Source organism: Homo sapiens, chromosome 2 (genome assembly GCF_000001405.40).
Source record: "Homo sapiens chromosome 2, GRCh38.p14 Primary Assembly".
In the NCBI taxonomy this organism is placed as follows: Eukaryota; Metazoa; Chordata; class Mammalia; order Primates; family Hominidae; genus Homo; species Homo sapiens.
Genome location: NC_000002.12, coordinates 228,599,552 through 228,623,034, shown reverse-complemented (window position 1 = coordinate 228,623,034; position 23,483 = coordinate 228,599,552). Strand labels below are relative to the sequence as shown.

The 23,483-nt window shown below is 37.3% G+C and overlaps 1 long non-coding RNA gene across 1 annotated transcript in view, besides 1 other annotated feature; it reads left to right on the top strand.

The window, feature by feature from the left end:
* Window positions 9,333–10,532: an enhancer, noted in NCBI's record as "P300/CBP strongly-dependent group 1 enhancer chr2:229477219-229478418 (GRCh37/hg19 assembly coordinates)". NCBI's record gives its function as "activates an origin of replication core promoter dependent on BRD2, BRD4, P300/CBP, MED14 and CDK7 cofactors, with strong dependence on P300/CBP, by STARR-seq in HCT116 cells {active_cell/tissue: HCT116}" and the evidence as "EXISTENCE:reporter gene assay evidence [ECO:0000049][PMID:35650434]".
* The window catches only part of LINC01807 (long intergenic non-protein coding RNA 1807), a 128,137-nt gene continuing 116,293 nt past the window's right edge, over window positions 11,640–23,483 (top strand). The window contains exon 1 of the long non-coding RNA NR_151716.1: window positions 11,640–11,783. This is a non-coding gene — a long non-coding RNA (long intergenic non-protein coding RNA 1807). The remainder of the gene's footprint in view (window positions 11,784–23,483) is intronic.

Genomic DNA, 23,483 nt, shown 5'->3' with positions numbered 1-23,483 from the left:
TAAGGTTGCAATGGCCTTTGTACAAGGTTGTGGTTTTTGTAATCTTGTTCTTTATCAGGCATACAAACGTGAGAACTCCCTCTTCATAGCCTTCCGTGGCTCTATGTCAGGATTTTCCTGACATTAGTGGCTCCATTTTGATTCTGACAAATTGTATACACATGCAAGTCTTTGCGTGCCTGCAAGCTTTCTTTCTCTTGGGTAAATACTGAGGAGTGGTATGATTAAGTCATATAATAGGAATATGCTAACATTTTTATAAACTCCAAAAATATTTTCCATGAGGTTGTCACATTTTACCTTTCCACCAGCATTGTATCAGTTTTATTTCTTTCCTATCTTTACCAACACTTTGTATGAATAAAATCTCTGTAACCTAGGGTTAAACAATGAGTTCTTAGATATAATACCAAAAGGGTCATCCAAAAGATAAGTAATCAATAAATTGAACTGCATCAAATTAAAATTTCTTCTTTTTAAAAAACACTGAGTTAGAAAATGAAAAGCCATAGGCTGAGCTAATATTTGCAAAACACATATTTGATAAGATCTTTTCAAATGATATATTTTTTAACTCTCAAAACTCAATAATAAGAAAATGATCATTAAAAAAGTGGATATAAAATCTGAAGACACTTTACCAAAGAAGATATTTAGAAAACCAATAAGTGCAAGTTACACAAATTAAAAACCACAATGAGATGTCACTACACATCTATTAAAATGGCTAAACTGAAAAAACTGTCCTGTATTATTTGTTTTTAACTTCATAATTTTGAGATAATTATAAATAAACATGCAGTTACAAGAAATAAAACAAAGGAGTTCCCTGTACCAGGGGTTCCCAACCCGTGGGTCGTGGACTGGTATTGATCTACAGCCTGTTAGGAACCTGGCTGCCCAAGAGAAGGTGAGCAGCCGGTGAGTGAGCATTACTGCCTGAACTCCGCCTCCTGTCAGATCAGCGGTGGCATTAGATTCTCATAGGTGTGTAAACCCTATTGTGAGTTGTGCAAGTGAAGTATCTAGGTTATGTGCTCCTTATGATAATCTAATGCCTGATCTGAGGCAGAAGTTTCATCCTGAAACCATCCCCACAATCTCCTGGTCCATGGAAAAATTGTCTTCCACAATACTGGTCCCTGGTGCCAAAAAGGTTGGGAACTGCTGCCCTATACCATTCATCCAGTTTCCCCCAGTGGTAACATCTTGCAAAACTATAGTACAGGCCGGGCACAATGGCTCACGCCTGTAATCCCAACATTTTGGGAGGCCAGGGTGGGCGGATCACTTGAGGTCAGGAGTTCGAGACCAGCCTGGCCAATATGGTGAAACCCCGTCTCTACCTAAAATACAAAAATTATCTGGGCATGGTGGCAGGCACCTTTAGTCCCAGCTACTTGGGAGACTGAGGCAGGAGAATTACTTGAACCCAGGAGGAGGAGGTTGCCAAGATCATGCCACTGCACTCCAGCATGGGTGTCACAGGAAGACTCCATCTCAAAAAATAAAAAAATATATAAAAATAAAAAAAAAACACAAAACAACAACAACAATATAGTATAATATCGTAATCAGGAATTTGACATTGATACAATCCATAGACTTTCTTCAGGTTTCACCAGTTTTGCATGCATTCATTTGCATGTGTATTTGGTTCTGTGCAGTTTTAGCACATGTATAGGTTCATGTGAACACCACTTCAGTCAGGGACCAAAACAGCTCCCTCAGCAGACCACTCCTGCTACCCTTCTATGGCCACAGCCACTTCCTGAGAACCACTAATCTGTTCCCCATCCATAATTTTCTTATTTGTATTCTTTTTAAATTCCTGTTTTTCTCTTCCCATGATCACACCACAGCTGCCACAATCCCTTGAACTTTGGTTCAAATTCTCAGCCCTGCTAAAGGTACTAACAGAGTCACAGAGGAGGCTCTTGAGGATCTTTCCTTTGGAGAAATTGCCAGTGAAAATTCAGCAATACATGGGAAGTGAGATCCAACTTAACAACTTTGCTATTAATAAGCAGACTTGTTTCAAATGTACAAGTCAAAAGACTATCAAAACTAAACATCTGAAACCATGTCTTATTAAATATGCTTAGTTGAATTAAATAAAATTATTCAATAGAATTAAATAGCATGCAAAAACTGGAGAAACATTATCCCTGCAATATCTCACTTTTCTAAGCTCCCGCTTCAATGTCTCCTCTCTGGACAGGTACTTGCCTGCATGCCCCTTTATGTCCGCCTCTGGTTTATTCTCTTCTTTAAAGCTATTGCCACATACTGTTTTGTGTCATTTCATTCCCAAACTATTGACTGATTCTCTTTTTTGGCTGGACCTATATGCAAGAAGTTTGGCCCTTTTCTATCTACACCTTATCTTCTTTTTGTTAAATAGGGAAGCAAATGCTGAAGAGGCATTTTCTCCTGCTTTTAGATACTTTTGGTTTACAAACAAGAAGTCATTTTCTTGGTGTCTCCATTTATATCACTTAGGATGTGGGATAATGATGTTTTTATATCCTGATGCAAATAACTCTTCATCACTTGAGTTCTGAAGGCTGCGTCTTCATAAATCTAACACTGGAGGTTTCTGCTCAGAAAACTAGGTCACTCCACATCATCTACAATGTGCTTCGCTTTACAGCACAGTCTCACCCACTCTTACAACTGGGGTGCACATGTATTTATTTCATAAGAAATAAAAATATCAGTGATGTATTTTCCACTTGGCTGAGAATCAGCAACCTCTCACCACCAATTTTTATACTGATTTGTACACTTTTAAGTAAAACGCTTATCCATATGTGAAGAAAAGTAATAATTAAAAGCTAATCTCAAATTTTATCTAATCCAGCAAGCTATACAATATAGTTTCCAAAGCAAAACTGAATTTCTAAAAGTGCAAATAAGTAAAATGTAATGACAATTTTCAAAAGATACCAATGCACTGTTCCTCAGTATTCTCACCTGAAAGTGAATGAATTTTCTCTATCCCACTCATGGGGTAGCTTGAAAGATTAAATGAAAAACAAAAAGAAGATGAAGGAGTCTCGATGTGTCTGCAATAAATGATACTTTATATAAAACGATGATGTTTTGTGGTGATTAGTAATACTTCATTTAATTGGGGTAGCTTGAAAGATTAAATGAAAAACAAAAAGAAGATGAAGGAGTCTCGATGTGTCTGCAATAAATGATACTTTATATAAAACGATGATGTTTTGTGGTGATTAGTAATACTTCATTTAATTGTTTCAGAAAGTATCATTGTCATTTATTATATCTATGTTCTGTATCTATGCAAGCATCCATCTCACCTTACTTTCTAACACAGGTGATTGTATGTATGTGTGTATATGTATACTTATATCTATCTATCTATCTATCTATCTATCTATCTATCTATCTCTATCATCTATCTAATCTATCTATCTATCTATCTATCTATCTATCTATCTATCTAGAGAGATTTAAGGAATTGGCTCACATGATGATTGTATTAGTCTGGGTTCTCTAGAGGGACAGAAATAATAGGATAGATGTACAGATGAAAGGGACTCTATTAAGGGGTACTGACTCACACAATCACAAGGTGGAGTTCCACAATAGGCCATCTGCAAGCTGAGGAACAAGGAAGTCAGTCCCAAAATCTCAAAAGTAGGGGAAAGCTGAGAGTGTAGCCTTTAGTCTGTGGCTGAAAGCCTGAGAGCCCCTGGAAAACCACTGGTGTAAATCCAAGAGTCCAAAAGTTGAAGATGTTCAACAGCAGGAAGCATCCAGCATGAGAGAAAGATGAAGTCCAGAAGACTCAGCAAGTCAACTCTTTCCACTTTATCCTGCCTGCTGTATTCTAGCAGTGCTGGCAGTTGATTAGATGGTGCCCACCCAGATTGAGGGTGGGTCTACCTTTCACAGTCCACTGACTCAAGTGTTAAACTCCTTTGGCAACACCTTCACACACACACCCAGAAATAATACTTTGCATCCTTCAATTCAACCAAGTTGACACTCAATATTAACCATCACAATAACAAAAGAATTGGCTCACATATATATATATATATATATATATATATGTATATATGTATTTATACATATAGAAAAGTATATATTAGTATATATATTTGTATGTGTATACATACATATATATAAATGTGTATATATATGTATGTCTTGGTGAGTCCAAAATCTGATGGGGGAAGCTGGCAAGCTGGATATTTGGAAAAAGTTACAGTTTGAGTCTAAAGGCAGCCTGTTGTAGAACCAAGGGAAGAGCCAATGTTGCAGATGAATTCCAAGGGCCATCTGCTGGCAGAATTCCCTCTTGCTCAGGAGAAGTCAGGCTTTCATTCTAGTCAGACCTTTAACTGATCGGATGAGGCCCACCCACATTACAGAGGGCAATCTGCTTTACTCAAAATCCACAGATTTAAATGTAAAGCAGATCTCATCCAAAACACCTTTACAGAAACACCTATAATAACGGCTGACCAGATATCTGGGCACCATGGCCCAGCCATGATAAACATAAAATTAACTATCACACTGATTATTATATTTTCCTTAATGGTTACATGTTTCAAAGCCACTGGTCCAGTGAAACAATGATGGAGAGCAAGCTAGCTTGAAGATTTTTGGAAGAGCTTACTTGGTTCTGGATGCCACTGGCCACATATTCTCACCCAACTATTCATCTGCATCCTGGCAACTCTATGGTGCCTCTGTTCTCTCCAGGCTGGCTAATATCACCTTAAATTCAGGCCTATAAATATCAAGAGGGTGACCCAAAATTCTCTACAACCCAACTACACTTTCCAGGATATTTGCTGCTATAATCTGTTTCTAGACACAGTATACTTCTGACACCAAATGTGGTAGGGATTTCTGTAATTCCCACAGCAACCAATTCTCCAACACCAACTGGGCATCCTGCAATTCAATTCTGACACTGTATACCTGGAGTTAATGTCAGGTCCCACAAGTGAAGAGCTCAGCCCCACAAGACTGCTCTCACTTCAGATTGCAATCACAAGGCCAGGGCTTTCCGTACTTCTGACCAACTGGATATCAGTTGAGGGTTCCCAGACCTTTTTTTTAAGTTTGATAATGTCCTAAAATGGCTCACAGAACTCAGAAAAACCGTTTACTATTGCTGGTTTGCTATAGAGAATACAACTCAGAAACAGCCAAATAAGTGAGATGACAGGATAAGGTATGTGGGAAGGGGTGTGGTGCTTCCATGCCCTCTCTGGGTGGACCCCTCTCCCAGCACTTAGATGTCTTCACCAACCCAGACGGTTCCTGAATTCCATCGCTGAGGGCTTGTATGAAGGCTCCATATTATAAGCATGATTCATCAAATCATTGAGCATTGGTGATTTACTCAATCTCCAGTCACTCTCCCCTTCCTGGATGTCAAGGGTAGTGCTGAAAGTTCCAATCCTCTAAACGTGCCTAGGTCTTTCTCATGGCCAGCCCCCATCCTGAAGCTATCTAGGTGTCCTAGCTACCAGTCATCTCATCAGCACACAAAAGACACTCTCATCACTCCAGAGATGCCAAGGGTCTTAGATGCTCTTCTGTCAGGAACCCAGGGAGTAAGACTAAATATTATAACAGATGACGCTTTTATTACCCCTATCACTCAGAAAATGACAAGGATTCAAGGAGCTTTGTGCCAGGAACCTAGGACAAATAACAAATTTATATTTATCATTATATCATGATTTCACATTTGCTGAAGTACTCTCTGAAGGAACCATTTCATGCCTTCTGTCTTGCCCTCTGTCATATCCACCGATGATCATTTCCCCCTAAACTGAAACTATTAACCAAAACATCCCACAACTTCCAGCCCCCTCAAACTACATACATACCCACATTGGAACTCATTATTTCCCCTCTTAGAAGCCTAAAATCCATTATCTATAGAACATAAATCCCAAACATTTTTTTACAACAAAAATCAGAGCACATCACTTCTCTGCTTAAAACACTCCAATCATTTTCCATGCTGTAAAAATAAAATTTGAATATGGATTTTCAAAGTTTGACAAGAGTAAACCTTTGCTTGCCTTTCTGTCCTCCTCTCCCACCACAGTGTCGCTCAACAACTATGTCCCAGCCATGTGGGTTCTGTTTGGTTTCCTTCCACATGACAGGTGCCTTGCCAGCTCAGAAACTTGGAAGCAGCTTTCCACTGTGCCTGGATGGCTCTTCCCCTCCTTGATATGACCGGCTCTGGGCTCTGTTCTTCTATTTTTTTTAGAGATGGAATCTCACTCTGTCGCCCAGGCTGGAGTGCAGTGGCATGATCTTGGTTCACTGCAACCTCTGTCTCCTGGGTTCAAGCAATTCTCTTGTCCCCTGTTCAAGCAATTCTCCTGTCTCTGCCTCCCAAGTAGCTGGAGTTACAGGCACGCACCACCACATCTGGCTAATTTTTGTATTTTTAGTAGAGACAGGTTTCACCATGTTGGCCAGGCTGTTCTCGAACTCCTGACCTCAGGTGATCCATCTGCCTCGGCCTCCCAAAGTTCTGGGATTACAGGCGTGAGCCACCACACCCGGCAGGCTCTGTTCTGTTGTTCAGGTCTCAGCTTAAATTGAACTTCCTCAAATAGGCCCTTCCTAATTACTCACGCTCAAGCAGATTCCTGGCTATTTTTCTTGCTGTATCTTTTACAACTGAATGTTGTAACCAGTGCTGTGTCAAACTATATTGGAACCTGAGCCAAAAGGGAAAATCAGTACTGTGACCCTGTCTTTATTACAGATTTTGATATTTTGTTCATCATGGATTTTTTGCATTAATTTCAATTGTTTTAAAATATTGCATTAACACATTATTTACCTTAATTACCGAGTTTCTTACCATTTCCTTAAATTTTGTGTCCCAGGTAAGTGACTCACTTGCTTTATCTGAGACCTGGCCCTGTTGGTAACCCAGGCTTCTCTTTACTTTTGGACCAGTATGATGATTTTTAATTTGCAGGCCCAGCCTAACCTGTAAGATTGTGGAGAATGCTGTCAAGTATCAGGGGTGACAGGGATGATCGTCCATGACTTAAAACTGTAAGAGATAATAGATGAGACAGGCAGAGGGAGAATAAGATGGGAAAGGTGGGTATCTGGGGTGGGAAGAAGAAGCATCCCTTGCAACCATAGTGGGAGTTGAAACAGACATCTTAATGCATAAGGATTAGGTCATCGGGGAAACTGTGTGAGAGGTAAATCAAAATGGCATTCTCTCCATCTTCAGGGAAGTACAGAAATGACTCCTTGAAGTGGGTGGGCCTCATGTGACACATGGATAGCCACACAGGTTGGTCAGGTTGATGATGCCTGTGGCAGAACAGTGTACATTATATTCAGAGGAGACAGTGAGTCACGCGTGCTCAAAGATCTATTAGTGCAGGCTCTTCAGAAATGCATTAGACAAACATTAACACTCCAGACTGCAGAGTTCCTTTAGTTGATTTGATCATTATGTTTAAATTCTTTAAAGACAATGTACATCCTTATTGGCTATACTTGAGCAGGCCATTCCTTCTACTCTACCCTTGATATTCCACTGTCATAACGTTAAAGAAACAAGGAAGATTATTTTTAGGCTCCAGGTAACTAAATAATAAGAAAACTGAAACTTAATGTATGGGCAAAAAATTAAATTAATGAGAAAATCTTGTCCACACTGATAACAATGGAAAAAAGAAATAGGTAATAGTGCCTGTGGTGGTGAATTAATACTGCATCTGGCTGAAGTAACCTCATTCTCAATTAAAAGGATGAAGTCCTTTGGAGGAAGAAGGGATGAGAGCAAGTGATGTTTACATACTTTATTACGGGTAATTACAATTATAGAAAGAATTTTAATGTTTTAAGAATTGTTTTGAAGTTAAAAAATAATAAAAGGGGAAAATAAATTTAAAAAAGGCAGATGGGGAACAAAAACAAAGGCATTTTAAAATAGTGATAGTGATCTTCTTTAGAAGGACACAGGTAAAAGGAGAATACTGAGAGCTAAGTATGCCTCAGAGGAAGAAACATTGGAGAGGAGGAGGGCCAGGCACCAAGGTTAGTTAGAGGAAACGAAAGGAGGTAGTCAGCACCTTCAAGTCAGCCAGAAACCAGGGAAGAAAAAAATAACATAAGAAAGAAAACAAAACAAAATATGTGGAACTGTGCAGTGGTCTTCATTAGTTTGAAAGCTTTGCTTAAGGTTTCTGTTTTAATGTTAAAGCTGGACAGCTGTGCCTGAATTCCAAAGGGAAGACGGTATAATGAGGCATGTTCAACCCCTACTTCCCATTATGGCCTGAATTAGTTTTTTTCAGGTTAGCTTAAGAATGTCCTAGGCTGGGCCGGGCGCGGTGGCTCACGCCTGTAATCCCAGCACTTTGGGAGGCCGAGGCAGGCAGATCACAAGGTCAGAAGATTGAGACCATCCTGGCTAACACGGTGAAACCCCGTCTCTACTAAAAATACAAAAAATTAGCCGGGCGTGGTGGGGGGGCGCCTGTAGGCCCAGCTACTTGGGAGGCTGAGGCAGGAGAATGGCGTGAAGCCGGGAGGCAGAGCTTGCAGAGCCGAGATTGCACCACTGCACTCCATCCTGGGCGACAGAGTGAGACTCCGTCTCAAAAAAAAAAAAAAAAAAAAAAAAAAGAATGTCCTAGGCTGAGAGGAAGGATCCTTTTAATTGGCTAGGGGGCTTAGAATTTTATTTTTGGTTTATGCTGCCATCGCCCTGCACTGTTGGGCCACATTAGAAAGGGAGGTGGGAAAAGAGGAAAGATTTACATGACTTATAGTGTACTCATAAATGTTTAACAACCAGATCTCCCTTCAGCCAAATTTTTTTAAAAGTAAATAAGTAAATATTATCTGATTTATAGCATTAGCCAATGTCCATGTTGTAAACACGACTGTCGTGTCCATTTCAAACTATTGACACATAATCAATCCCCAAAAGCAGGGTTTGGAAGCAATGCATGCAATTGGCTCTCACAAGCTGGTGCAAGCACATGTCTGTACTGGAGCCCATTTTAATTCTCTACATAGCACTAAATAATTCACATTGCTCTTGTTTGTGCATTTATTGCTTCTCTTATGTAAACACAATCACCAACATTGAGGTCTTAGTCATTGCATGATGTATAACAATATTGTCACTTAATAGGAACTCAAGCATAGTTATGTGTACATTTATTGCTAACAGCAGCACTTAACACCTGTAGAGATGCTTATTAGATACCGAGAATTGCATTAAATTTTAAAGTGGATGGTATAATTTGTTCAAGTATTCACTCATGGCTCACTCTTGCCTGCCTCCCGGTAGGCAGAGCGCCTGTCACTACCCTCTTAATTGGGGTCTTAGATTGATGACTTGCTTCGATGATGTAATGTTAGTGGGTGTAAATATACTTTGCCAAAGCAGGAGCTTTAAATGAATTAACAAGGTTTCTCGCTATCTCTTTGGGCTTCTGCCCTCATCAAGAGAACATTGAGGCCTGGTAGTGTTTCTCTTTCAGATTAGGACTGGAATAAAAAGACATGTGATACTGAGTCAAGCCCAGCTGAGTCAAAGGGAGCCTACTTAGGACCCAGCCAGCCCACGGCCTTCCAATAACGTAAGCAAGAAATAAATGTTGTAAGCCAATTAGATTTGGGGTTCCTTGTCACCACAGCGAAAGTTGAGTAATGCCATGACAAACACAGTACTCATTTGAACTTTGCAATGACTCTCTGATGTAGTTTTTACTATTACCACTCACATTTCATAGATGAAACTATTAGAAAACAGATAGGTCAAATGACTCAGAGCTTTACATGTCTAGTAAGTGGTATAGCTGGGAATTAGACTCAAGCTGACAAGCTCCAGAATCCACTCATTTCATAACATTTCATAACATCTCATTAAATAAATATGGTTAGGAAGAGGCACTGTGCTATTTTAATTTTAGCTCAAGACCTATATTTTGATAGATATTTTCAAAAGTTAAAAATGAGATGACCATATGTCCTATTTTACCATGGATAGTACTGGTTTACACCTGTTTTCCCAGCACAATTATGAATAGCCTCTTCTTTATCCTCAACATATCCCAATCTGGTAAATTATATATCCACCCTATTTAAAACCTACTTTCTTCCACAGCAGCGTTTTTGCAATGTCCTTCCACTTCATCGCTTCCCCTCACCAATCATCAGACTAATCCATGTCATGACAAAACAACTGAATATCTTCTTCAGGAGAGGCTGGCTCTTATGTGGCTCACCTGCCAATGTCGTCCAGGCCCCTTAGGAAGAGGTTGCTTTGGGGATCCCACCTGGGAACAATTTCTTCTTTAGGTGAACTCTAGGGTTCTTATTACATATGGAAATCCCCATGAACACAGGAAAAAAAAAAAAGCCCAAGATGGATCTGGTTTACAATCCTAGTACAAAGGAATACTTGTGTTCTCTTCTCTTGAGTTGGGGAATCAGTCAAATAAGCAGATGCCAAGGTACACACATTTAAGGAAATTTGTATGGGCAAATGTTCTAAGGAAAAGAACATGCAAGAGATTATTATATAGCATTGTATAGCATTATTTATGTAGGTAAAGGCAAATTGAGAGGTGAATAAACTTAAAAGAACCAAACACCTGCAGAAGAGAGGGGCCGGGGGCAGGGCCTCCTTTCCTTAGGTACAGCTCCCCTTACATTTAACATCAATTGTTTCTCCTTTCAAACCTCTCTAACAGATCTAAACCAGAATGTTTATGATAAATTACAAGATCTTTAAACCACGTTCCTATTTAAAAGAGTCATCCAAATTTTATTTTATTTTTTATTTTATTTTATTTTACTTTATTTTTTGAGACGGAGTCTCGCTCCGTCGCCCAGGCTGGAGTTTAGTGGTGCAATCTCGGCTCACTGCAAGCTCCGCCTCCCAGGTTCACGCCATTCTGCCTCAGCCTCCCGAGTATCTGGGACTGCAGGCGCCCCCCGCCACGCCCGGCTAATTTTTGTATTTTTAGTAGAGATGGGGTTTCACCGCGTTAGCCAGGATGGTCTCGATTTCCTGACCTCGTGATCCGCCCGCCTTGGCCTCCCAACTTGCCAAATTTTATTTTTTAAAAGCCAGGATAGTATCTCATTTCATTTCTGCATTGTGTGTAATTTCACAGCACCCAGTTTCACAAGGTGTCATTTATTAAGGGCAGTTAGAATAGAATTCTTAGACTTTAGCGCATTTCAAACAAGCTATTACAACAGAGAGTTTCATAGTGATATGTGGTTTGTTTTCTGTTGTTTTCTTGGAGCAATGGATATCTTTTTAAGAAACACTATATCCTCCCTTGCTTTCTTATATTCATTTTCCATACTGTAATTATAGATACATGTATAACTGTTGTCAAATATTGATAAAACATATGTAGGTCATATTTATTGAAACCCAATATCTGCTAGAATCTATGTTTTACTGAATCATCGCATGTTATCTTTTTAATAACCTTGTGACTAGGTAATACATCACTCATACTGACAGATGAGAAATAGAGACTCAGGGAGATGAAGCAACTTTCCCCAAAGTTCCATTGCTTTTAAGAGTCAAGGTCTTCCAGTCTCCAAAAGCCTCATTCTTTCCCTTGGTTTATGATATTCAATTTGGCTCCTGCTGTAATGTACACTGAAACCTCAGGCTGCTGAGCTATCTTGATGGTTTTAAGAAGACAATCTGGTGCCTTTACCTGCTAGAGAAGTCACCTAGAATCCTGTTGTTTAAGGTACTTTATTTTGTGCTTTCCAGCTACTAAAGCATACATGATGATATTCACATAGGTGGTGTTCATGGATTTTCATATTACACTCTGGGGATCAAACAAGATGAATGTGTGTTACAGAAAAGAAGTTTCTGTTTGAATTTCTTCTCAGCTCGCTATCTCTCAATACACTGCAGCTGCCATTCCTAATGTTTTGTTAATTTGCATGTCTTCAGCATCTTTCGTAATTTTTCTCCTTTTATTCTTGATATGGATCATTTGTGCCTTCTCATTTTTTTCCTTACTTGACCATTCTTTCCAGAGAGTTACCAATTATATGGTCTTTAAAAATTTGCTTTTATCTTTGTTCATCCTGTGTAATATATGCCGGTTTTCCATTTTATTAATATAGTGTCTATGTTTTCTTTGGGCTTATTTTACTCTTCTTTTTTAAGTGTCTCGACCCAGATTTCCAGCCTTTCTTCTTGCTCTGTCTGCTGCTTTAGCTGCTTCCCACACATTTTGATATATTGTATTTCCAAATATTTTTCTGATTTACTCTGTGACTGCTTTGGCCCCTGGCTTGAATTTTTTCGAAGCATATAGGGATTTTTCAGTTTGTTTCTTATTTCTAGTAATTTAGTGAAATAAGAAGACATATGCTCTATTATTTTAGTTATTTAAAAATTTTGACACTTATCCTTAAGGCCTAGTATATGGTTAATTTTTGTAAATGTTCCAGGATTGCTTGGGGGATGAAAGTGTATTATGTACTTATAACAGACAGTGTTTTATAGTTCAGTATGTCCGTTTGGTTAAATTTGTTAATTGTATTATTAAAATCTTACAAATTCTTACTAACAACTTTGTCTGTTTCTTCTATCCATTACTGATAAGTTAGGTTATGATTTTCCCCTATGACTCGGGTTTGCTTATTTCTTCTTTTAGCTGTGTCATTTTTATGGTTCATATATTTAAGGTCATGTTAATAAGTGCATGCAGATTTAAAATGTTTATTCTTCTTAATACATTTTATTATTATCATAAAGTAATCTTAATAATCTTAACCATCTGGCCTTTAGATCATGTGGTCTGAGGTAGGAAAATCAACCTTCCTAATACCCAGTATTATTTGTATGATATCTTCTCCTGACACTTTATTTTAAATTTTTCCACAGTCACAGGTTTTAGGTGTGTCTTTTATAAACTGCATACAGACATTTTCCCCTCTCATTCAGCGTGAAAATCTGTGCCTTTTAATTAGACCAGTTCCATTCCTCTTAGTATAATTATTGTTCTTTTTCGGTTTTAAATCAGCTCTCTCATTTCCTGCATTCTATTTTTCATATCTGGTTTCATCCTTTTAATCGTTTTACTAGAAATTGTAACATTCTTAATTAACTTGTCAAAACTATTGTTTTTTGCACCTTTTGACCCTCCATCTGAAATAATTTTGTTTCTGCCTGGAATATATCCTTTGCAATTTCTTTTAATAATAACAGGGCAGCTCTATTAGGTGTGGTTCATATTTGACTGATGATAATTTTTCATAAGTTTTTGTTCTTTGAAACCTTCCTTATTTTGTCTTTTTTTTAAAAAAAAAACAAGTTTACTGGGTATATAATTATACATCATAAATTATCTTTCTCACCACTTTAAAGCTACAATGTCATTGTAGTTACTGAGAAGTAAGCTAACAGTTCTACTGTTGTTCCTTGTAATGTGTCTTTTCTCCCCAGCTACTTTTAAAATTGTTTTCTTTATGTTTGATTTTCTGCAGTTTTACTATAATGTGTGAATTTTTAATTTATCTTGCTTGAAATCTGCTAAGTTCCTTGCATTGTGAATTGGTCACTTCTAACAGTTCTGAAAATTCTCACCCATTATTTCTTCAATTATTGCCTCTGACTCATTCTTTTTCTCCTTTCTTGCTGGATTTCTGATTTAAAATATGGTAGACCTTTTCTCTCTATCCTCTGTCTTTTAACTTCACTTTATTTATTTACTTATTTATGTTCTTTTTAATTCTTTATGCTGCACTCCGGATAATGTCCAGTTCATTAACTTTCTCTGCAGCTGTCTCTAATTTGCTGTTAATTTCATGAATGGAGGGTTTTTAAAAAATATTAACAATGGAAATGTTTAAATATATACACAAGGAAAAAAGAAAAGAATCATAAAATGATTCTGATATGATTGTAATTCACATTCAATCATTATTTATATATGGCCAATATTGTTTTACTGATGGACTCCTACCCCCCTCATTATGCACTGACTTTTAAATTTCAGCTATTTTTTTATTCTTAGTCTGTTTCTTCTTCAAATCTATTCTGTCATCTTTTATAGCTTCATATTTTTTACTAATATTTTCAAGTTTATCAATTTTATTTTTTAAGCATAGTAAGCAAAGATTTTATAATCTATTGTGTATTCAAATATATGATGTATTTGTACTTCTATTTTTTGTTCATTTATTATTTTGGCTTATTATGTCATATGGTACCTTATTTGTGCTGACAAGTGAACTTAGAAAAAAAATGAGCTTGATATTTTAAGATTTAGGGTAAGGGTACGTTCTTCCAAAGAGGATTTTCATTTGTTATTGCCAGGCTCTAGGGCACAACTAGTTAGGGACAACCTTAAATAAAATTCCATGCTGAGGTTCCTTGGACCACCGAGGAAGTGCAAGCCTTCATTGCTCACGGTCTGGAACAGCTCTGTTAGGTGTGGTTCATATTTATTTTGAGAGATTAGCCCTTTCGGATTCCAGTTTATTTGGGGATTAAGTCTTTTACTAGACTTTCTACATTAGGTATGCTTTGGGCTTCGATATGGTTCTCTTGCTCACTCCATAAGGCTATCAAGTAAAATGTTAAGTTTGACAAAATTGTCACATTCTCTCAGGGTAGACGTTGCTGCTGTACTAGTTACCTCCCTATTTTCCTCTTGATACGTTGTCCTAGTAATTCCTTACTGTTTCATATTTTCAAAATTTTAAAAACTATTTTTTATCCTGTATGTATAGTATTTTTCAGCAGGAGGTTTGGTCTAGAATACCTAATTGACCATAACCAAATTCAGAAGAAGGAAATACTATTTTCAGTTACTTACATAAAGATTAACCAATTCTAACCCCAAAGACATTCAAGTCATTTTTCTTTTTTTTCTGTCTCATCCACTCTCACTCCCAAAATTAGAATGTGTAATTCTAGTTTTTTAAATACTGTAAGATAACATATTTTTAAAATACTGTAAGATATTTGTGTTTTTTAAAATACTATAATATTGCGAAAATTTTCTCCCATTTTGTAGGTTGCCTATTCACTCTGATGGTAGTTTCTTTTGCTGTGCAGAAGTTCTTTAGTTTAATTAGATACCATTTGTCAATTTTGGCTTTTGTTGCCATTGCTTTTGGTGTTTTAGACATGAAGTCCTTGCCCATGCCTATGTCCTGAATGGTAGTGCCTAGGTTTTCTTCTAGGGTTTTTATGGTTTTAGGTTTAACGTTTAAGTCTTTAATCCATCTTGAATTAATTTTTGTATAAGGTGTAAGGAAGGGATCCAGTTTCTGAGGGCTCTGTTCTGTTCCATTGATCTATATCTCTGTTTTGGTAACAGTACCATGCTGTTTTGGTTACTGTAGCCTTGTAGTATAGTTTGAAGTCAGGTAGCATGATGCCTCCAGCTTTGTTCTTTTGGCTTAGGATTGACTTGGTGATGCGGGCTCATTTTTGGTGCCATATGAACTTTAAAGTAGTTTTTTCCAATTCTGTAAAGAAAGTCAGTGGTAGCTTGATGGGGATGGCATTGAATCTATAAATTACCTTGGGCAGTATGGCCATTTTCACGATATTGATTCTTCCTACCCATGAGCATTGTATGTTCTTCCATTTGTTTGTATCCTCTTTTATTTCCTTGAGCAGTGGTTTGTAGTTCTCCTTGAAAAGGTCCTTCACATCCCTTGTAAGTTGGATTCCTAGGTATTTTATTCTCTTTGAAGCAATTGTGAATGGGAGTTCACTGATGATTTGGCTCTCTGTTTGTCTGTTATTGGTGTATAAGAATGCTTGTGATTTTTGTACATTGATTTTGTATCCTGAGACTTTGCTGAAGTTGCTTATCAACTTAAGGAGATTTTGGGCTGAGACGATGGGGTTTTCTAGATACACAATCATGTCATCTGCAAACAGGGACAATTTGACTTCCTCTTTTCCTAATTGAATACCCTTTATTTCCTTCTCCTTCCTGATTGCCCTGGCCAGAACTTCCAACACTATGTTGAATAGGAGTGGTGAGAGAGGGCATCCCTGTCTTATGCCAGTTTTCAAAGGGAATGCTTCCAGTTTTTGCCCATTCAGTATGATATTGGCTGTGGGTTTGTCATAGATAGCTCTTATTATTTTGAGATATGTCCCATCAATACCTAATTTATTGAGAGTTTTTAGCATGAAGGGTTGTTGAATTTTGTCAAAGGCCTTTTCTGCATCTATTGAGATAATCATGTGGTTTTTTTGAGATAATCATGTGGTTTTTGTCTTTGATTCTGTTTATATGCTGGATCACATTTATTGATTTGCATATATTGAACCAGCCTTGCATCCCAGGGATGAAGCCCACTTGATCATGGTGGATAAGCTTTTTGATGTGCTGCTGGATTCGGTTTGCCAGTATTTTACTGAGGATTTTTGCATCAATGTTCATCAAGGATATTGGTCTAAAATTCTCTTTTTTGGTTGTGTCTCTGCCAGGCTTTGGTATCAGCATGATGGTGGTGTAGGGGGAGGGGGGAGGGGGGAGGGATAGCATTAAGAGATATACCTAATGCTAAATGACGAGTTAATGGGTGCAGCACACCAGCATGGCACATGTATACATATGTAACTAACCTGCACATTGTGCACATGTACCCTAAAACTTAAAGTATAATAATAATAAAATTTAAAAAATAAAATAAATAAAAATAAATAAATAAAATACTGTAATATAACGTATTTAAAAGGATTTCAGTGTTCATGTTATTTGGAATTTTTCTTATAAAAGAAAAAAGAAAATATATATTTTTACAAGCCAGTTTTATGGTAAGAATTTTCTTTGACTTATGTTATTTCTTGATGGAAAGCAGCTAAATATTCAAAATGTGATACAATGTAAGTATTCAAAAACTATTCAGCATTATGGTTATTGACATATTTATTTCATAGTCATTGTTATATGGAATAGTAATTGCTATATTTATTTCAAAATAAAATTATTGAACATGAATACACATTTCCAGTAGTTATAGTACATTTTAAACTGATAATATTTAAATAATGCTTTCAGTGTCAAACTTTCTTTCAGTTTCAAATTGTAATTAATAATTAAAAAAATTTTTCAGTTCATTTTTCTAGGAGGTGTTCTTATGCACACAGCAGAAAGGAGAGAGTGTTGGCATTTGTTTAGTGCCTAATATGATCAACAGGTTTTATTTTGTGTTGTGACTATGAGGAATTGCCTGAGGAGTTGTCTTTAAAATAATTTGTACGTTCATGGGTAAATAATTATATAATATATTAACAAACAACTTCTAGCTACAAGAGAAGGGAAATAACCTGTGTGTTATTTTCACTATCCATGGCCTACTATATGCCAGAAAGACTGTTAGGTGCTTAACACATTAGTCCTTGGATCACACCCTCAGGTGGATACCTCCCTCACCAGTCCCTGTCCCACAAGTTGTTTTTGATCATGTCACACAACTGGTGAGTGATAAAATGAAATTTTATCCATTCCACACCAAAGAATGTCTCAGTTAGGGATTGCATTCAGCTGCAAGGGAGAGCCCAATTAATTTGTGAATTAAAAGATTTAGAGACATTCTTTTTCTCATACAACAGTAAATTCAGTGGTAGGAGAACAGGTTAAGAACGGAACCCTCTTCACTCCTTTTCACTTTCTCCCATAGATCCATGGTAACTATTGCAGATCCTACCATCACATCCGCATTCTAGACAGGAAGGAAGATGGCACTTCTATACTTGTGCTTGTGTGTCATTCATTGTACAGAACTGAATTATGTAGCCATACCCAGCTGAAAAAAACTCTAAGAAGGATAGCTTTTAGCTTTCCAGGCTCATGAGTTGAGAAACACAATCCAGAAGGGGGTTAGAGAGTGGGTATGTGTGTGTGCCAATCCACATTAAATGTCATAAGGGCTATATTTTTTCCCATTAAATTAAGCCACCTTAGGTAAAATGCTAAATGTCATAATTTAATCAAAGAGCTTTCTACAGTAAGAATCGATAAAACAGCATTTTAGAGCACTTTGGTGTTTACAATATGCAACAATCCATTGAGATGTTTATCACCAGCCCCACTAAAAGTTGAATCAGGTCTTTATTTTAAATCCCATGCTAATTATACTGCAACAAACCAGCTCCCCAGTATTTATTTATAATCCTCTCATTTAGGTGAAAAGACATTTGGGGCTTATAAAAAATCTCTGAGATATTTTATTACCTATTAACTCATTATGTCATTAAAACTATGATTATAACCTTTATTAGCTTTTATCCCCTTTTTCACTGTCACTTTTGCATTTTGGCTCACCGAGAAGTGAAAAAAAATTCAAGAAAAACACATAAAATAATAAATTGATATACTGTGATGCTTAATTAGAAGAAATAAGCATTAATATGATTCTAATAAATAAAATTCTTACTAATGAAATTTAAGTTGATTATTTAAAAACTAAAATTTCCTACATTGATTTACTTATTTAACAGATATTTACTGAGTACTTCATTTGTCCAGTTACTAAATATTGGTGCGAAATGGTCACCAGTAGCTTATTTATTTACTTATTTTTATTTCTTGATGAAGTTTCACTCTTGTTGTCCAAGCTGGAGTGCAATGGCATGATCTCAGTTTACTGCAACCTCAGCCTCCTGGGTTCAAGCGATTCTCCTGCCTTGGCCTCCTGAGTAACTAGGATTACAGGTGCGTGCCACCCCACTCAGCTAATTCTTGTATTTTTTGTAGAGATGGGATTTCACCATGTTGATCAGGCTGGTCTTGAACTCCTGACTGCAGGTGATCCACCTGCCTTAGCCTCCCAAAGTGCTGGGATTACAGGCCTGAGCTACCATACCAGGCCAGTAGTTCTTAATTGTATCAAATCACCCAGAGGTATGACAAATTTATCCACTTATTTTTTAAATTTAGGTAAACATTCTTTTTTTTTTCAATTTTCTAATATCACGTGACAATCCGAAATAATAACATATCATTGCTGTTTCAAGTCCCTGTGGACTTGAAACAGCAATGATCTATTATCTCTCACAATTTGGGAGGTAGAAGAGGGCAGTAGATTGGGCAATTCATCTGCTGCTATCTCCTGGGAATATTCATGCACTCCCTGTCATCTAATGACTTGCCTAGGGTTCAGTGTCCAAAATGATGTCACTCACATGGTCGGGCATTGGTGCCCACTGCCAATTGAGACAGCCTGGTGATGCTGTCATCCTCCAGTAGGCAAGAAAGCACAGAAGAGTCAGGATTCCAGAACAGTGAAAGTGGAATCAATGAGGCCTCTTAAGGACTAGCCTTAAGAGTTGCACACACATCACTCCACTACATTCTAATGGTTAATGCAAGTCATAAGACCATCCCATATTTAAAGGAGTGGGGAAATAGACTCCACCTCTGAATGGAAGATATGACAAAGTCACATGGCAAAGGGTTTGTATACAGGGATGGGAAAAATTGTTATGCTCATTTGAAAGCAATTTTCCAGAGTCTACCCTCTTACTACAATAATTCACATCTTTCTATCATGTCAGATGTACCATAGTTTTCCACTAAAGTCTTATTTCAATTTTAGTATAAGTCTCACCTTCCAAATCCTTGTGATCTTAATCAGATCTTAATGTAATAAAGCTCCTCAGGTATAGCTATTCGTCTACATCTATAAATAAAATACATTTATCTTTCCCCCCAACTTCCCAATGCTCACTGTACAAAGAGAGTTGTGAGAAGTAGATAGTCAGTGGTCTTTACTAATTCTGAAATCCGTCTGGAAACATGCACCTGACTCCCTACTCCAGGAGTGGGGTATGTGACTGTTTATGCTTTCTGAGAGCAACCCATTCATTCATTTTCTCTCCAATTTTCACTTCTGCCTTCTGGGAACTTAGCTCCACTATCTGATGGTCATGTTTGAAAAGTCTACTATATTTTTGAACTCTCACTTTTGATAAAATATAAAGAAACTTATTAGAAGTATATAAAAATATTTTTAATCTTAGATATATTTAATTAGTCTTAGTTGCTTACACATATGTTAACAATAATTTAAAGTTCAGAAATGATTTTAGGTTTTAGTTAAAGTGAGTATCTAGTCTCTTGTGCAGTATTTCCTATAAGGATGATGGTCTTAATGTCTTAGCAGCATTCTTGCCATGTGGTTAACTACCTTTCAAATATATAAAATAAAATCTAGCTGTCAAAATATAATAAGTAAGGTAAATCATTATATTTTACTAAATTACTAACTTCATGGATAATTTATCACAAATCTAATTCAACTCAAAAATCATTTCTTGAGCTTTTTTTTTGTTTAGGTGTTAACCACTGTCTAAGCTCTATATGGGGCACTTAGCCCCATCGTGAGTGATGCAGAGAGCAGTGATTTATGCCTGGAAGAAATAAAGACTAAGGTGGATATTGCAGGATGAGTAGGAGTGTCTTTCAGGAAGAAGGAGCAGCATGATGAATGGCATGAAAACTTGAGTTTACATGACGTGTACAGGAAACTGGAACTCAACACTATTTTATAATGACAGTCAGCAGATGATGATAATTAAGTGCATGGACTCTGGAACCAGACTGTTTATATATCCATAGCAGGCCTAATATTTACTAGCTTGGTAACCCTGAGGTTAAATCTTCCCATGTTAAAAAATGGGAATACTAACATTATTATCTGCCTATATTGGTCAGCATTCTTAAAGAAACAGAAGCAAGATAATGTGAATATAGAGAGATGTATTTAAAGGAAATGGCTCATGCAGTTATGGAGGCTAAGTCCAAATTCTGTAGGATAGGCCAGCAGTCTAAGGATTAAGGGAAGAGCTGATGTTGGAATTCAAGACCAAAGGCCATCTGCTTTACTCAAAGCCCATCAATTTCAATGTTAATCTCATCCAAGGAAACACACTCACAGAAACGTCCAGAATCATATTTGACACCATGGCCCAGCTAACTTGACACATAAAATTGACCATTGCACCATCTCAAAATGTTCTAAACATTAAACAATGTAATATATGCAAACAATTTAGAATAATGCCCAATATACTGTAAGCCCTAAATAAGTCTGAGTTGTTTTATCTGGAATGTAAAGAGTGTTTGCAGTAATAGATGAGACTAGAGAGGGATCCTGGGTTCATGCCATTTAAAAACAGTATGCCATGCTATAGAACTTTTGTTTGTAACTTATAGGGAACCATGAATGGTGTGGTCATACTTGTACTTTAAATAGTTTACTCTGACAATAGTTTGTAAGGTAGAATTGCAGAAGTACAAACCTAAAGACAACATATGTCAAACAGAACATCAGTATAACATTCAACCTTCCTTCTTGCTGCCAAGCTTCAAAGGCCTAAATGACATTTCCTAGACTCTCTTGAGCTAGTTTTCTGGATGCACAAGACGTACCACTAATTAGGTGCATCAAGTGGCCATGTGACCTAAGATGCTTATTATGGGATGATTGTTATCCGATTCCCCAAGCTGTCAATTTTGGTGTGTTCATAAGCCCTCCATTATCAAGTAGAACAGCTAAAATAAGTGAGTGAGCTCTAGTGGGTTCTGGAGGAATAAACAAGTTGCACGAGCTAATGACTCGCAGTATTGACTCTGGATATATTGCCACTTCTTCCTCCACCCACACCTATGCCACTGAGGCATTTACTAGGACTGTAGACTGAGGAAGAAAAAATTAAATCCTGAAAAACATGATTTAACAAAATATCCTATTCCACCTGGAAATGGAGTTCTAAAACAATATTGTCAGACTTAGGGGTGGCCCTAAAGTTCAGTGGAGAAAATAGTCCTCCCATTGAGGAAACCTACAAGAAGTTCATTTTGTTTTTCCTTTTATTTCTGGGAAAGAAAAATATCTAGATACGTAGATCTATAGCAATTAATTAGAAGCTGATGGCTTGGCAAGATGGTTGGATGTTTGGAAGAAACAAGGTTACTGACAACAAGGTCTGGGGAAGTGGCATGTAAATAGGCTTCTCAGAATGACAGCAGAGTCAAAGCAATTTGTGTTGTTAGAATTTTTGTCTCTAATGTACACTCTGAAGATACTTAGTACTCAGTACTCAGAATAGGTGCACTACTCTCTGTATGTCAGTGAGCTTCTTTCCCCAGTCATGCCAGTGTTTTCTTAGAGGGACATATTGGCAGGTGTGGTGGTGCCATATGAGTTCCACTATCTGCTTAACCGAGGTTGGTCTGGTTAACACAACTGCTGACTTTTCAGTCTCCAATATACAGACCAATATTGAGACCCTAAAAAGGTGTGATACTCCAGGGCAACAGCCATTCACCTAACAGAAAATTGATTACATGGAAACCTTTTCCCCCTCTTTAGGCCAAACAATTATTTTTCACATAGATTGGCCTCTATCTATTCCTATAATGCTCTGTTCAGAACCGTCATTTGTAGAGTCATTAAATGCTTATTCACCATCACAATATTCCATGCAATATTACCTCAGACCAAGGAGTTCAAGAGGCAAGAGAGTCATGTCTATGTGACTCACTGATCTTAATATGCATGCCGTCCTCCAGAAGCAGTTACTCATATAATATGGAGGAATGATCTACTAAGTAATCAACATCATATGGGAGAAAATGTATCATGAGAGTCAAGTATGGTTGTAGAAGCTGCAGTAAATGTACTAAACCAGCAGCCAATATATGATGTTGTTCCTCCCTTAACCATAGTATAGAGTTCCAGGAACAAAATATTAGAAAGGAAAATGACTTTATTCACTCCCACTATAGTAGTTTTTGTTTGCTCCCACTATAGTAGTTTGCTAGAGCTGTCATAACAAAGTACCACAACTGAGTGACTTAAACAGGAGAAATTTATTGTCTCACAGTTCTGAGAGCTAGAAGTTCAAGATCAAAGTGTCATCAGAGTTGATTCCTTCTGAGACTTCTAAGGGAGTGATGTGGTTTAGCTCTGCGTCCCCACCTAAATCTCATGCTGAATTGTGAGCCCAAGTGTTGGAGGTGGGACCTGGTGGGAGGTGATTGGATCATGGGGGTGGCTTCTAATAGTTTAGCACCATTCCCCTAGTGCTGTCTCATGAGTGAGTTCTCACAAGATCTGGCTGTGTAGGTTGTACATGTCTAAGAATATAACAATTTCCTTGAGATTTTCCAGTGTACTGGCAAGTAGTTGCTCATAGTAGCTGCTAATGAGCTATTGAATATCTGCAGTATCAGTCGTAATGTCTCTTTTTTTATGTCTGATTTTACTTATTTGGATTTCCTTCTTTTTTTCTCAGTTTCTGTCACTGAAGTTTTATCGACTTTGTTTAACTTTTTAAAATGCAAACTACTTTTATTGATGCTTTTTATTGTTCTTTTTATCGATGCTTTTTATTGTTCTTATTGTCCTACTACTTCCTTCTAGTAGGAGAGGTTAGCAAGATAAAGTCCACA